Raw genomic sequence first — 16,800 nt, forward strand, 5'->3', positions numbered from 1 at the left:
GGCAGGATTGGACAGAAGGAGAAGCTAAACAGTGATGCAGTCCAAACAAAGGCCAAACCTACAAGGAGCTCTGAAGCTGTGACGGGCCTTCAGCATTGCCTGCATTGTAATGAGAGAACTGGGATTTTATATTCCTGCATCTATCATAATTGAATGTAGGTTGTCACTTGGGTAAAGCAGCTGTCTCCAACATGGGGCATTTTCCAGAAAAGACTGTCATCTGAGGGCAGTAAGCCAGTGACATTCTGAAAAGCTGAGAGCCTACATATTTCAGTCCTAAAAAGGAGTCTGTGTGGCACATCACAAAATCCACTCTGGAAATTCAGGTGTTACTAGCCTGTAGTGCTTACAGCTACTTTCACTAAGACAAAATAATTGTATGCCAGAAGCTACGGCAGATGGCCATATGAGCCTCAGGCAGTGGTCCAGGCTCCCTGTGGTTTTCAGGACACTCAGAATTACTTGAATACTCTGGATAGGGGCCACAGGCATTCTACAAATGATGGCAGGTCCAAAAAGGGCTGAGATCATTACAGAGAATTGCTCAGTATTTAGCAGCAAGGGAAACCAGCAGTGCAATGACTTTTAACACTAACTATCTAGAGTTAGTCCAAATTTTACAGGTCCTCCATGAGACCACCTTACTTCAGACACCAGCTGCATGCTCAAGGATCTCAGGGACATCCTCACTTCTAACCAACTGGCTACACACTTGAGGGTTCCTTTCAGGTTTGAGAATTCACTTGAATGACTCACAGAACTCAGGAAAGTGCTACATTTATGATTACAGCTTCATTATAGCAGAGACGATACAAAATCAAAACCAGCCAGAGAAAAAACACATGGTGCTAAGTCTGGCAGAGTCTCAGACCCTAAGCTTCCAGTTGTCTTCTCCTTGTGAAATCAGAAAGTGTCACCCTCATGGCACATTGAAATGTGATGATACACAGAGCATTGACAACCACAGAAGCTCTCCAAGCTAGATGGTGAGAGTTTTCATTGGGGTTTCACCATGTAGTCAGTCATGTAGTCATGATTGGCTGAGTCATTGGCCATGTCATTGAACTTGATCTCCTGTCCCTTGTCATCTCCTCAGAAGATCTGCAAGAAGAGAGTTAAAAACTCTTTGTTTCAGAGCTCTGTTTGAGAGTTAAAAGCTGTTTGAAATACTAGCTTTGGTTCTGGGCACTATACTTAATTTACACAAATTGTTTCTGCTCTCTGATTTAAAGACTCAACTATGTAAATACAGCTTCTAAGAAATTTGAAGCATCATAGTGGGAGAATAAAGAGAGAAGTTAAGAATTTTGTCAATAGGAGTCCATTAATATAATAAGCATTTCGTAAGTGCTAACTATATAAGTCACTCTGCCACAAACCACAGACATTCCCGAACATACATATGAAATTAAGCTGGTTATGGCCTGCTAGAGAAAAGAATACGTGAGCACAGAAAAATTATCCATGAAATCCTGGATAGAATGTTGAAGATGGCTACAAATTGGAGAAAAGGCAGTATATTAGTCCGTTCTCCCACTGCTATAAAGAAATACCTGAGACAGGATACTCTATAAAGAAAAGTTTAATTGACTCACAGTTTTGCAGGCTTAAAGGAAGCATGATGTCGGCCATCTGCTGAGCTTCTAGGGAGGCCTCAGGAAATTTACAATCATGGTGGAAGACGAAGGGGAAGCAGGCTCATCTTACATGACTGGAGCAGGAGGAACAGAGAAGGGGGAGGTGGCGCACACTTAAACAACCAGATCTCACAAAAATTCACTCAAGTATCATCAAGACAATACCAAGGAGGATGGTGCTAAGCCATTCATTAGAAACTGCACCTATGATCCAATCACCTCTTACCCAGCCCCACGTCCAGCACTGGGGATTGCATTTCAGCATGAGACGTGGGTAGGGACACAGATCCAAATCATATCATGCAGTGACCTGTAAACTATTTCAAGTCATGCAGTGAGCAAGTAGAAAAAAATAAAAGTTAAGAAAGGTGTAAAATTTGTCAACTCTAGACTCACGACAAAGACACCCCCCCAACACACACAATAACCTGCTCACCTGGACAAAGTGCTCACTCATCAGGAAGATAGCCAACTCATTGAGGTTGATTTTGAGAGCCTGGTCTTGCTGTGTCTACTAATCTTCAACAAATATGTTACAAACTCTGACATTAACTCCCAGTCATTTTTCTTGCCTTGAAATATACACATTAATCTATTTGAGTCCAGGGGACAAAATCTATAAATTATCTTTTTCCCGCCTTTTGATACTAAGAGATGGTGAATGTGGAGTTTTCCATTTCTATAGTAAGCTTAATAAACTCAGCTTTGATACGTAAAGATTTCTGAGTAAATTTTACAGAAAGTCGGGACATGAGCCAGTTTGGAAAGATAAATTATGTACGATTTAAATAAAGAATTCTAGAAAAATATATTTGAGGAACTGGGGGAGGGAACAGGTTACTGAGACATGGGACTTCAAAGATGTCCCTAAGTTCAAAAGCTGAACACAATAATGTTATCTTTCCCTTAGAGAGATTTATATACATTCCAAAAGGTCAGAGTAAAAACATGCTTCCCAATGAGCAAAATACCTCAATTATTTTTTTCTGAATTACTCTCCTACAATACAAATTAGTATGTATAGGATAACATCTGAATCTCATTGCTTTACCCCAGGGTTAAAAAGTTGAGGCATCAGGAAACCACAGGTTTGTTTGCTATGAGTAAATAATAATTTTCTCTGTGTTAGAAACCTCATGTGTGTGTGTTCAAGATAATAATAATAAGTATGGATATTAAAAATCTATCTTACTCCCTCTTTCCATTTCCCAAGTGTCTTAGTCCATTCAGGCTGCTGTAACAAAATACCATAAACTGGGCTACCTAGAAATGACAGAAATTTACTACTCACAGTCCTGGAGTCTGGAAAGTCCAAGAGCAAGGTGAGGACTGATTTGGTTCCTGGGGAGGGCTCTCTTCCTGGTTCATAGACGGTCTTTTTCTCTGTTTATCCGCACATGAGGAAAAGGTTCAAGGAAGATTTCTGGGATATCCATAAGGACACTTATTTCATTCATGGGGGCTCTACTCTCGTGACCTAATCACCTCCCAAAGGCCTCACCTCTAAATACTGTCACATTGAGAATTAGGTTTCAACATGTGAACGTCAGGGAAATAAATACCCCACTTACCCTAGTATTGTTACACATTGCATGCTTATATCAAAATATCTCATGTAACCCATAAATATATACACTTACTATGTACCTGCAAAAATTAAAAAATTCAGTCTCTAGCACTAAGATTTAAACTTTTTAGCAGTTTCTTCTCATCTTGATTTCCATATTTCAAATACAAATTTTGTAGTATTTATTTCAGTCCAAATTTACTTCAGAAAACAGAAGCCAGCCTGTATCTTTTAATGGTTTTGATACAAGAAATTGAAGGCTTACTTGACTATTGGAAAGACTGAGGAGGAAAAAAAATGTGGAAAACAACCAAAGAGGATTTTAGCTTAAATATGTAAAGTGGGTCATATGTCCTCAGACAAAGCTACTGTAAATCTCAAGACTCTATGGATGGTTGCTATCCAAGTACCTCAGTTATCAGCACCAATGATCATGACTCCAAAAGCTCACCTGGAGGCTTTCTGAACTCTCACAGCTGTCAAGCATTTGTTCTCAATTGCCACCTGATAAAGGTCTGTCCTTCTGCTTGACCTTTCAAATCTCAGACAAGTAACATTCATTGGAACCCTAAGAAGAAGGCGAATGTGGAAAACATAGTTCCCAGCTTCTACTTTCTAGAGAAGACCTTAAAGGAGGTGGGTTCGATGCCTGCCAAGTTGACAACAGATGATCCAACCCACTATGATTTCCTGATACATCAATTTTAGATGTGATCTATTGCACGGCATGTTACGATATGTTTTAACTCCCTTATACTTCTTCTTGCTCTCTCGCTCATCCTATTATAGGTGTTTTGATTAAATCAATATTCAATGTTTATAGGGCTACAACTGTAAATTTATCCACTACTGAGAAAGGTGGCATATTTATGATTAGCCTTCCATTTCATAAACCTTTTTTTCCCCTGGAATTGATAATGGTGGCATTCTTTTTTCATTTGCTTAGTTGTGCTTTTTTTTTTTAATATCTGATACTGACTGACTATCCAAACTTATACTTAGAGGTGTTAAACAACTTTCAATACCATAGTCCCTGTGGTCAGATGGAGCAAATAATCTATCAGTTCTTTTTATCTGCCCCTCCCCTCCCCACCCCATTATCTTTTTCATGAAATTTTTCCCAGAGCTGTTTTTCTCCCATTTGAAATAGTTGTTCTCTTGGCCTACTGCAAAAAGGTTGATCTAGGACTGCTCCTTCATGTTTTCCTGTGCTAAATCTCCTTTTTTTTTTGAGACGGACTCTCACCCTGTTGCCCAGCCTGGAGTGCCATGGTGTGATCTCGGCTCAGTGCAACTTCCGCCTCCCAGGTTCAAGTAATTCTCTGCCTCAGCCTCCCCAGTAGCTGGGATTACAGGCACCCACCACCACGCCTGGCTAATTTGTTTGTATTTTTAGTAGACACAGGGTTTCACCATCTTGGCCAGGCTGGTCTTGAACTCCTGACCTCGTGATCCACCCACCTCGGCCTCCCAAAGTGCTGGGATTACAGGCGTGGGCCAACGCTCCAGGCCAAAACCTATTTTTAAGAGTTTCTTTCTCTATATTGGTTTACTTTTACATTTTGATGAAACACACCCTATAATAGCTTTTTGAGCAAGAGTGCAGAGGAGGTTTTTTTTTTTCATCTTTCTGATGTTTTAAACTTGTCTTTTCTATCACACACTATTTACCTTTTGTCCATCTAACATGCAGATACAATTCTAGTAGAATTAAGAATCTTTGTTTCATTCCTCAGTTTATTTTTCTGCTGTCCTTTTTTAGTTTCAAAGTTATTTTTGTTCCTTCATTGTTGTTTTGTATCATCTTGTCCTTGTTCCATAGATATATCTTCTCGTTTTAATATTAATTGTAGGTGATTGTTAGAAAAATATTCTACTCCATAAATTATCACTGTTTTCTTAACTATCCTTTACCCACTTGTTTTTTGATTTCTCTTTTTTATCAAATATTTCATCAAATATCTGGGGAATGTGGTCCATTCATGTTCAAGAATGAAGTACCCACTACACAACAGATCAGAAGCCTTATCTGTGTGCATGAGCAGAAATTGTCAATTATTAGGCATTGTTGGAAGATAATCTTGCAGCAAGTAAAGTTTATTTGTGGGTCCTCAAATTTGAGGATTTCATGCATTTTCTCTGCAACCAGATTTACGTGGGATAACATACTAATTTTCTGTCTTACTATGGAGCAGGCAGAAGAAAATTGTATCTAGCTGCATGTGTTCGAAGAACAAGTAGAAATGGGAGATTGCGAATTTTATCATTATGTAAGCAGATTTTCACTTAATTCACTTATTTTCAGCATCTGTCTCACCTTTGACTTCCATGATCTCTTATTTTTCTCAGTTGGAGTCCTTACTGCTTTGATTTCCTCAGAAGATAGAATTCTGGTCAGAGATTGGATGACAGTGAGGACAGAAAAGAAGAGGAAGTTGCCTGTCTGTGTGGGATCTAGTAGGGCTCAAGGGTCTACTTTTCCTTACAGAGATTTCTGCCATCCTCCAATTTTCAGCCCCACAATTCACCATCCTTCCTATTTCTTCCATTGTACAATTGCATCACATCCTAAGCCTCTGCTTTATTATACAAGACAAGTAAATTTCTTTCTCCTGTTTCCCTTCGCATAGTCTCAGATGGTTAGCAGTTGCAGCACCCACTCTGCTCACCCAGAAGCAGAGGTCTTAGATTTACATTGTCATTCAAACTAACAAGGCACAGTAGGCTTCAACCAACACCAAGTTTATTTAGCTTTAAGAAAGAATAGCTGGGTGCAGTGGCTCACGCCTGTAATGCCAGCACTTTGGGAGGCCAAGGCAGGCGGATCACAAGGTCAGGAGATCGAGACCATCCTGGCTAACACTGTGAAAACTCGTCTCTACTAAAAATACAAAAAAATAGCTGGGCGTGGTGGCAGACGCCTGTAGTCCCAGCTACTAGGAAGGCCGAGGCAGCAGAATTCCTTGAACCGGGAGGCGGAGCTTGCAGTGAGCGGAGATTGCGCCACTTTACTGTAGCCTGGGCGACAGAGTGAGACTCTGTCTAAAAAATAAATAAATAAAAAGAAAGAATAAAAGAGAGGAATTGTAACATCCTCAGCAGCACCGTAGCCAAGGTCCTATGACTCACAAGCATGATCATGAGAAGTGAGGCTGACTGTGTGCCGACCACCTCAGCTCCAGGAAGCCGTCAGCTCTGGGGTCTCTACAGCTTCTCTGCATTCCTGCTTATCCAGAATCTTGTGCTTTTCTCTTGTGCTGCTGAAACTCACTATTTGCAAAGTATTTATCAGGTAGATGTTACCAAGCAGTTAGAGGATACCTAGTTAACAATCTCCACAGCTAGGTACAGAGGCTTGATTCAGTATATTAAAACTTCAGGAGTACTCTCATTTTTCTTGGAGCTTGTATAACCTTTAACGTTTCTTCAATCCGTGTCACTAATTTGGGCATCTACTATGGGCTGAATTGTGTAATTAAGGTTAAACAAAGTCATAAGGCTGGGGGCTTTCAATAGGATTGGCAGTCACATAAGGAGAGAACAAAAGAGATTCCCCTCCTTTTGTACTCTGAGGACACAGGAAGAAGAGGGCCATCTGCAAGCCAGGAAGAGATACCTCATCAGAAACCAACCCTGCTGGTCCTTGATCTTGGCCTTCAAGCTGCCAGAACAGTGGGAAGATACATTTCTGTTGTTAAGTCTCCCAGACTATGCTATTTTGTTATTATAGCCTGAGAAGAGTAATATAGCATCTAAACCTCAGACATCCCGTAAGCCAGACAAAAGGACTAAACCAGCTGTTAATGATAAGCAGAGATTACTTTCCATTCATTATGCCTTAATTTAGGAAAAGCGACTGTAATATTGTCCCTTAGTATTTTCTGGAAAGAACAGACGCATCTCATTCTCAGGACGTGGTGCAAGGGAAATTTCCGTTTCCTTCCACTGAGACATCTTTCAAAACATTTTTTAAATAAAAAGTACTAAAATACAATTTAAAGAAAAGCCTGAGGACTGACAATCATTTTCTCTTCCATTTGTGATTCAAAGGCTTCTGTTTAATCAATAATTCCCTATTCAAACACTTTACCTGGATAGTTTAATGGCTATCTGACCACTTGAAATGCAAATTATACAGTTTTTAATCTTTGAATGAGATTCTGAGGGTCAAAGAGTAGTTCTTACTCCAAAGCATAAACCATTCTGACAGATTTATACTAGAGAGGCTATACTAAATAAGAAAAATGTTTAAATAATTCAGATAATAATGCAAACTGTTAACTCTTAGAAAATTCTAAGCCAAGTGTTTTCTAATGTGTTAGAGTTAGCTAAGAAAACACACAAGAAATCCAAGAAATCTGCTGAGTAGATAATTCTATTGTGCCAACACTTATTAGTTTCATGCATCTATTTAAGAAGACCCTGAAGCTTTATAAAAGACATTTCATTTTATATACTGTAGGTAACTGCCATTATGCAAATATTGTTGCCATTTAACTCCATCATGCATTTTATCTGATAATCATGAGTTGTAATAATAAGCAGACAGGTATAATTGAGTTTATTATATGGCCTGTTCAGTTTCTTTCCTGTCGTAAGAATACAAGAGTAACCAAAAGTCATAGTTTGATGTTTAGTGTAACTAAAGAGTTTTCTTTATATCCTTCATTTTTATTCTTATTTTAACATGTGAAAAACACTTAAGCTACTTTTAGGTGTCTAATATTTCTGCTGTCAGAAGGCATGACAAAATATTTAATAGCATAGTTAATGAGAATTTTTCAGCCATTCTATCAAGAAGTAGTTTGCTAATTTAAAAAATCTGAATGCTAATAAGTTGGCTTAGCTAAAAAAAAAAAAAGTCAAAACAAGGCAGTAAAAAAATACAAAATATTAAAGCTCTTTTTGTAATGCTACAAAGAATACAAAAATAAAATTTGTGATTTTACCATTGATAGTTTTCATATTAAGACTGAAGCTATGTAACATACTAATTTTAAGTGTACTACTAAATATTTTTCTTTCTATTCTCTATGCTTACATGAAATTTTAAAAAATGAATATTTTAGGGATGTAAAATAAGAACAGGGAGAAATTGATACCAAGTACAGAGAAAAAAATAACATTTGTGGAAAAGCTCTTGGTAGCGATGGTCCAAATTTAATTTTACATCTATTATTTTACTTACTGAGACGAAGACTGTCTAGAATCCAATCCTAATATTTTCTAAGACTAGCTATTAGCCCTGTGTTGTGTACAGTTCGTTCATCATCAATCAAGTGAAAACAGTAGGAGAAGCTGCCCCACAGAGTTGCAGTGAAGATGGGCCAATTATAAATATGTAAGGCAGTTAGAGCAGCACATGCACACTAGTGAGTATCACATCAGCACTTGATACTTCTTAATCTTCTTGAACTTGTAGTGAATTACAGAACTCACTACAAGTGAGTTATAAATATAAAATAGAAGTGAGTGGGATGCTGGGACTCTAACACATTGACATTTAAATAAGATTTGATTCATGAATATAGCCAGAAATATCTTACTAGGAATATTTGCTTTTCTGAAAGAGAAATTCAATTTTGACATATATTTTATCATGTATGAATATGTATATATTTATATAACTATATAATTAGATATGACACACATACACACTTGTGTATCTGAAGTAGAGAAAGGTCTACAATCAACTATGAGAAGTCAGACGTTCCAATGAAACAGAACAAACAAAAGGTCTATGGATAAAAAGCTATTGAAAAACATTAGAATGAAAAATTTGAATAAGTGTCTAAGTGAATTCCACTAGTCCCATATAAAATCTACCTTTATTCTTTGTGCAGTCACTGCTGTGCCTATATTTCCTAACTAAAATTAATGTCACCTATAGCATAGCATCCTTTTAGTCTCTTCTACTATTGAAAGAGGTACTGCAGATTACAAATTATCTTGAGCTCAGGTAAATTAGACAGTTCTTGTGTTTTGAAGCAACATCTTGAAAACCACTATTAAATTAAACAGCCAATGTCTAAGAGAACAAATCCTTAAGCATGAGAAAGATTGGGAGCAATAACTTCAAATATAAATCTACTATCACCCGCTGAAGAGGTATAGTAAACAAAGAGCATCTATATCTGTTCATCAGTTATTGATGACCATTTGATGCCAATTTTATGAGCAATAAACCAGATACATGGGTTCATATGATTCTTTTATTATACTTATATTACCTCATATGTCAAAGTCCACAAAACATAATTTTTTTCACTTTTATGGAAGTTATGATGAAAAATATAATGATAGATTGGAGGCAGATAGATTATTATTTTGTAACTGCTTCTTCATCCTTAAAATGTGTTGTTATTCATATAGTTTGAGGATTGCTTTGGGCTTTATTTTCTTTTGAATATTTACATGACTCTTCTTCTACACAATATTCTCAAAAGAATATATCGTATCTGTTTTCTTTGTCAAGAACAGCTGTTACCTCACCCGCTTTATCTGTAATGAATACTTTGAATATTTTAGCCCCTATGTACACTTCCCTTTTCTCACCCTTCTTTTATGTAGACAACTAGGAATGACCATCATGAGAAATAGTATTAGGCTAATGACAGGTTATATGAAGGGTTATGACTCTGTATAACAACTTCTCTATAGCATCAGTTTTCATACTTCTTGGACAATTGTTCATTATCTATTTCATATTTTGAGTGGAACTATGTGTTAAACAAAATATTTTATACCAAATTCAAAACTTAAAAAGCACTTAAATTATATTATTTTTCAAACAAGCCTAGAAAACAAATGAAATAATAAAGAGGGTTCCTTCTGTCACACCAACTCAAAGTAAAGGAGCTAATGCTGGAGGTAATTAATATTGTTGATTTATACTTTTATATCTTTGAATAGCATATTTTTAAAAACATGATTTAGAATAAGTTGCAGCTGAATCTCTGAAACTTTATTTCTTTTGTAAAGTGAGAAGTGTTGGTATGTACCTCAAAGGACTAGCAACATGGGCACTCGCTTGGAGCTTCTTAAAAATGAAGAATCCTTATGCTTTGTCCCAAACCTAATAAATCAGAATTTGAAGATGGTTCACATGCATGATAAACTTAGAATATCACTGAAATGGATATCTCTAGCATTGTGTAATTTTATGATTTTTAGAATCCCTAGAATGGGGAGAGTGTAGATAAAAGAATCTACTTCCAACCTTATGCTATAGAAAGGTGGAAAACTACAGTTTGGCACCAAGTAAATATAACTGAGTTGTATCTAAAACCTTGGATTTAAGTACTTTGGTTAAAATATTGTTTGAAACTTTACAATAGCACCCATATTATTTCAAGGGCAAGAGAGACTTTTGTGGGAGGGTTTATTGATAAAGAAAAATTACTGAGAGCTTTATTTCACTGTCTTTACGGATTCACAAGTTGTGAAGCCTAGCAAAGTCAATTTGGAAACTTAAATTTAACAAAACAGTTATCAATAGCAATTCATTATCAATAGCAATTCATTATCTTCAGAACTGAAGAATTGTCACAGAGTGGTATTTCTATAAACCACTTCCACTCATGAGTTAAGTTATAAGTTTTGAGGACTGTAACAGGAGGAAAAGTTTGTCTATATGTAGAGAGTGGCCACTTAAAAAGCCAATTTGACAAAATTTGCATGGCTTCCTGCTGTAACCATTAAAAACTGTATCATTCACTCTAAAGTGATGTAGGGATATTGTCTAGAAAAAGCTAATAAGCATCAGAACAGGATACCTGAGGCTCTATCCAGAGTACTATTCTTCATACTGTGTTAGTTGCCTGTTGCCGTCATAACAAATTATAACAAGCTTAGTGGCTTAAAATGAAAAAACTTTATTCTATTATAATCAAGAATCAAAAAGAAGGGCTAGAAATCAAAAGCACAATAACAGAATGATATGGCTTGGCTGTGTCCCCGTCCATATTTCATCTTGAATTGCAGCTCCCATGATCCCCACACGTCATGAGAGGGACTAAGTGGGAGGTAATTCAATAATGGGGGCAGGTTTTCCCCATGCTCTTCTCATCACAGTGAATAAGTCTCACGAGATCTAATGGTTTATAAAGGGCAGCTCCCCTGCACACCTTCTCTTGCCTGCCACCATGTAAGACGTGCCTTTGCTCCTCCTTTGCCTTCCACCATGATTGTGAGGCCTCCCCAGCCATGTGGAACTGTGAGTCCATTAAACCTCTTTTTCTTTATAAATTACCCAGTCTTGGGTATTTCTTCTTAGCAGTATGAAAATGGACTAATACACAGAAGAATAACTTTGAAGAGTATGTCGGTAAGCTAGATACAGCAGAAGAAAGAATCAGTAATTTTGAGGATATGTCAATAGAAATTTCTCAAACTGAAATTGGAAAAGTATGAAGAAAACCAGAACATGACATTCCGCCATGTGGAATACTATCAAAAGTTGTACCATATAGATAATTAGAACACAAGAAAGAAATAAAGATAAAATGGAGAACTATTTGAAATAACAATGGCAGAGGTATTTTTTTTAACTAATGGCAGACACCAAATCACATATTCAGAAAGCTCAGAGAACACTAAGCAAACAAATACCAAAATATGTACATGCCTAGTAATGTATTCAAACTGCAGAAAACCAAAGACAAAAGACAAAGAGAAAATCTTGAATGAAGCCAGTGATGGAGTAGGGTAGGAGAACTTACCTATGGAAGAAAATAATAATAATTACAATAGGCTTCTCATTAAAAAAATCAAAGAAACAAAAAAAAATCTATGTAAGCAAGGAGTAGCAGAGTGAAATATTTGAAGCCTGGAATGCTATATCAAGTGAAATTATTCTTCAAGCATGAAGAAGAAATACTTTCTCAAACAACAAAAAGTGAAAAAAACATACTACCAACATGTGTGCTTTATATAATGTATTAACAGAAGCTTAATAAAAAATGTTATAGAAACAAATATATAGATCAAAAATTTGGATCTACATAAAGAAAGGGGAAAAGGGTCATACCAGGAACAAATACAGTTGAAATAAAATGCTTTATTTCTCTGATTCTAAAATGACCTAAAAGATAACTGTTTGTTAAAGTAACAATTGTAAAAACACATTGGATGACATCTGTGTAAATTAAATGAATAACACCAGTGTTACAGGAGATGTGAGTAAGAAATTGAATATATTCTGTAATAAGGTACCTGTAGTAAGCATAAAGAACAGTAGGTCATTTGAAAGTTAACTTAGATTAGTTGCAAATGTAAATCCCCAGGGAGCTCCTGCCCCATCAACTGAGAAGGGGCAGGGCTCCCGCTTGTCTCCAGCTCTTGCCATCTCCATGGAGTGTGCAGCCCCAGGTGCACCTCCTCACGGCCTGAGGAGGGAGTTCCAGGTCCTCGCTGGGCCCCTCTCTGCCCACTCCTCCATGCCTGACCACACTGCTCTCCCTTCAGTGGGAGACTTGGCCAGCCCCATTGTGGTGGCCCCTAGGGTGGCAGGCTCCAGGGGGCTCCTAGGGTTGGGCTCCAGAGACTGTCTACCTCCTCCCCACATCCTCCTCACACTGTCAGCAGGTGAGAGCAGTGACATGAGGCCACATCTAGAGCAGCAGAGGCTCCAGGCCTGGGAATGGGTCCTACCTAGTTGTGCGAGGGTGGGGCAGCAGAGTCGGCTGCCTCAGGAACACAGGGCACAGGGGACGCTGGGCAAAGGGGTCCCACCACTGCCACTGTTGCTCTTGCAGCCACTTCCACTGCCACTGCTCATGTCCCACCCTCTTCCCTCCCTCTTCCCCCGGCTCCTGCTCCAGCTCGCACAATGGCAGTGGCTGCTTGGAAGCCTGCTACTTTCATCAATTGTATCTATTAAAGAAATCAATATTCAATACAATTCAAAAGAAGAAAATGCCAGACACAGAGTATTTTATTGATGAATTCCACCAAACATTTAAAGAATAAAAATACTAATATTACACAACCTTTTCCAGAAACTACAAACAGAGGGAATACTTTCTGACACATTCTGTACGACACACTAACAGGCTGGAAACTCCATGTGATAATATGATATAGAGATATATATATATATATCATTTTACAGATATATGTCTCTATAATGCACCATGATGGTGAAAGATGTTAATAGCAGAGGAAACTGAGTGTGAGTGTTTCGAAACTCTCTACATCACCATCTCATTTTTTTCTATAAATCTAAATATTCTAAAAATAAAATCAATTGAAGTTAATTCAATTTGATACTAGTACCTCTTAGCCCCCTAATAAGGCATTTTTTGATATACAATTTGTCAGCCTGCCGTATATACTGAGATAGATTGACAAAAATATCCTTGTCATTAACAAAGCCATTGTGGATGAAATTATGTGAAAGATTAAATATAGTGCCATAGTGGTTTTTAAAAGATTATATATAAACTATCAATAAAAGGGCCTTGACAATAAATTGGTAAAATTTTACCAGAAAACTTTGACACTTTATGGACTTAAAAATGTATTCTAAATTGGTAAATAAATGCGAATGAAGGGTGGGGTTCTTCCAGGTATGGCAGGGTAGCTTGCATCCAATGAACCATCAAATGAACTAATGTACAGTGTCCCAAAGCAACCAGAAATTAGAAAGGAATTGAACCCTGAAAGAATGGAACAGTACTAGTAAAATTTATCTTTATACATATTTTTGTCTGAGGCCTTTACCCAAAATGTATGGAGTAGAACAAATAGAATTAAAGCAGAAAACTGCAGTATTATTTTTCTGAAGAATCTGTAGGCAGAATTTAAGGCTTTTAATTTTCTGAAAATGCTTGGCTAATCCCTGAACTATACATGCCTAAGGGCATACCAAACAGATGAATTGCACCATCTGGAAGAATAGAAGAAATAAAGGAAATTTTAGTTCCTGCTCACCTGAGAGAAAGTATGTTTCATAAGATGAATCCAGCTAAGTTAACTGCCTGCATCAACAACAACTACAAACTCTTTAGCTCTTTCTTGAAACAAAGCAGAATTCAAAATTTCTACAACATATCATCTCAGTGTTTAGCATAAAATAAAAATTATTACACATATGAAAAACAAGGAAATGTGACCTATAGTTCAGAAAAAAGTAGTTAATAGAAACCTATTTTGATATGACCTAGAATTATAATTAGTATAGAGATATTATAAATTTAAGTTCCAGGACTTAGGAGAAAACTGCTAATAATGAATGAGGATGTGAGAAATCTCAGCAGAATTAAATAAAAATACTAGAACTACAAGGTAAAATATCTAAAATAAAAAATTTACTGCATTGTCTTAGCAGCAAATTAGAGATGACAGAATAATTGTTTTGTTATATCAGTTACAGATACATAGAAATTATCTGGCCTTAAGAACAGAAAGAAAATGATTTTTAAAATCCGAACTTAAGGACTTACAAACAATATCTCATGGCCTGATATATATGTAACTGAAGTTTCAGAGGGAAGGCTACAGAGAATAAAGCAGCAAAACTATTTGAAAAAATAATGGCCAAATATTTTCCAAATGTGGTGAATTAAGAAAATTAATAAATCCCCAAGTGTGATAAAAATAAAAACAGCATACATGAGCACACACATTGTCACTTTATATTTATATCACTTTATATTTATATCAAAACTCTAAAAATAAGGGAAAATGTTTAAAGCATCCTGAGAAAAATGAATGAATGATACATTTTAGAAAACAACAAGATGAATAACTATGACTTCTTATCCGAAACAATGGAGTCAAGAGGACAATGGATTGAGATCTTTACAGTTCTGAAGCAAAATTGACAAGTTTTAATTCTGTACCCAGAAAATTAAATTTCAAATATTTAAGCAAAATTACTATATTTACAGATAAGCAAAAGCAGAGAATCTGCTGCTGGTGGACTTGCACTATAATAAAGACAATTCTTCAAGCTGAAGGATAATAGCACCAGATGGAAGCTTATAAATGCCAGAACAAATGAAGATCATTGGAAACAGTAAATATACTTTTAATTTTTGTCTGATTTACATTAAAAAACACATCTGTCTAAAACGACAAACATGTTGTTATTTTCTATGTTTAATAATGTAAGTAGATGTATTATGTATGATAAATATAGCATAGAAGATGAATTAAATGTAAGCATAATACTATATTATGTAAGGTTTCATAATATTAATTCTTAGTAAACTGTGATAAATTAAAAGCACATATTTTAATTCCTAGAGTGACCACAAAAAATAATGGAATGAGATATAGTATTGACATGGTTTGGCTGTGTCCCCACCCAAATCTTATCTTGAATTGTAACTCCCACAATTCCCACGTGTAGTGGGAGGGAACCAATGGGAGGTAATTGAATCATGGGGGCAGGTCTTTCCTGTGCTGTTTTTGTGATAGTGAATAAGCGTCACAAGATCTGATGGTTTTATAAAGGGGAGTTTCCCTGCACAAGTTGTCTGCAGCCATGTGAGATGTACCTTTCACCTTCTGCCATGATTGTGAGGCCTCTCCAGCTACGTGGAACTGTGAATCCATTAAACCTCTTTGTTTTGTAAATTGCCCAGTCACAGGTATGTTTTTATCAGCAGCATGAAAACAGACTAATACAAGCATATTGAGACAGAGCCAGGATCTAAATAAAATTTGGTTTAAAAATAAATCAACAGAAGTATCTGAAACCTAATAAACATTATTTTAAAATTCTATACCCTAGCACTTATTAGTTACACCTTTTTTTCAAATAGCTTACCCTTTTTGAGGAGTAGTTTTATCAAGTATAAAAATAATCTTGAAGTTGTTGTTTAAAGGATTATAAGACAACATTAGAAAGTACCAAATATAATCTCTGTGGTTCAATAAATAGACAGTAGTTATCTCTAATTTTCTTCTTTATCCTAAAATAACTAGGAGGTTACTTCAATACAATAGCAGCAAAAAATATTTTTAACAGCATCCGAATATATTAGAAAAATAATAGCAGTAATGAAAGAATTATATGGGATTATGCATAGGTTAATGATTGACACATCAAAAGAAAGCACATATAAGATTTTGTGAACATGTAATTTAAGTATGCTGAAAACAATAGAAAGCTAATCAAAGAGATGAGAGAGAGCTTTAGCATAAATATCATGTAGAAAGGGAATAATGAAAGAAAGACAAGAGCAGTATGGAGATGCAACAGCTGTTAATAGCACAGAAAATAGGAAACAACATCATTATCTCCAGGTGCAAGTAGGAAAATGCAAAATCCTTTCACCTTCAGTCCTTATAACAAAATGACTGACTATGAAGAATCAGTCATAAACTTGAAATTCTAGCCTCATTGCCCAGTTAATTGCTTTATTAAATATTAAATTCTACCTTGTGGGAACAAAAGTGAATTGCATGGATAAACAAAAGTAAAGCTGGCTATCTTTTAAATGTAGAAATTACAATTTTTGTTTCCTCTACAAATTCATGACTAAAATTATGAGATAAAGAACGATCCCTCAGCTTCTAACCCCTAAGAAATATCCTGGACTTTGAAAAAGCTGTAATATGTGTGACCAACTTATATAGTCACTTGAA

General features: G+C 36.3%; 1 annotated feature.

Annotated features, from left to right (window-relative positions):
- Positions 733 to 1,932: an enhancer, noted in NCBI's record as "CDK7 strongly-dependent group 2 enhancer chr21:26452976-26454175 (GRCh37/hg19 assembly coordinates)". NCBI's record gives its function as "activates an origin of replication core promoter dependent on BRD2, BRD4, P300/CBP, MED14 and CDK7 cofactors, with strong dependence on CDK7, by STARR-seq in HCT116 cells {active_cell/tissue: HCT116}" and the evidence as "EXISTENCE:reporter gene assay evidence [ECO:0000049][PMID:35650434]".

The sequence above is a fragment of the Homo sapiens genome, chromosome 21, assembly GCF_000001405.40.
Source record: "Homo sapiens chromosome 21, GRCh38.p14 Primary Assembly".
NCBI classification, from domain to species: domain Eukaryota; kingdom Metazoa; phylum Chordata; class Mammalia; order Primates; family Hominidae; genus Homo; species Homo sapiens.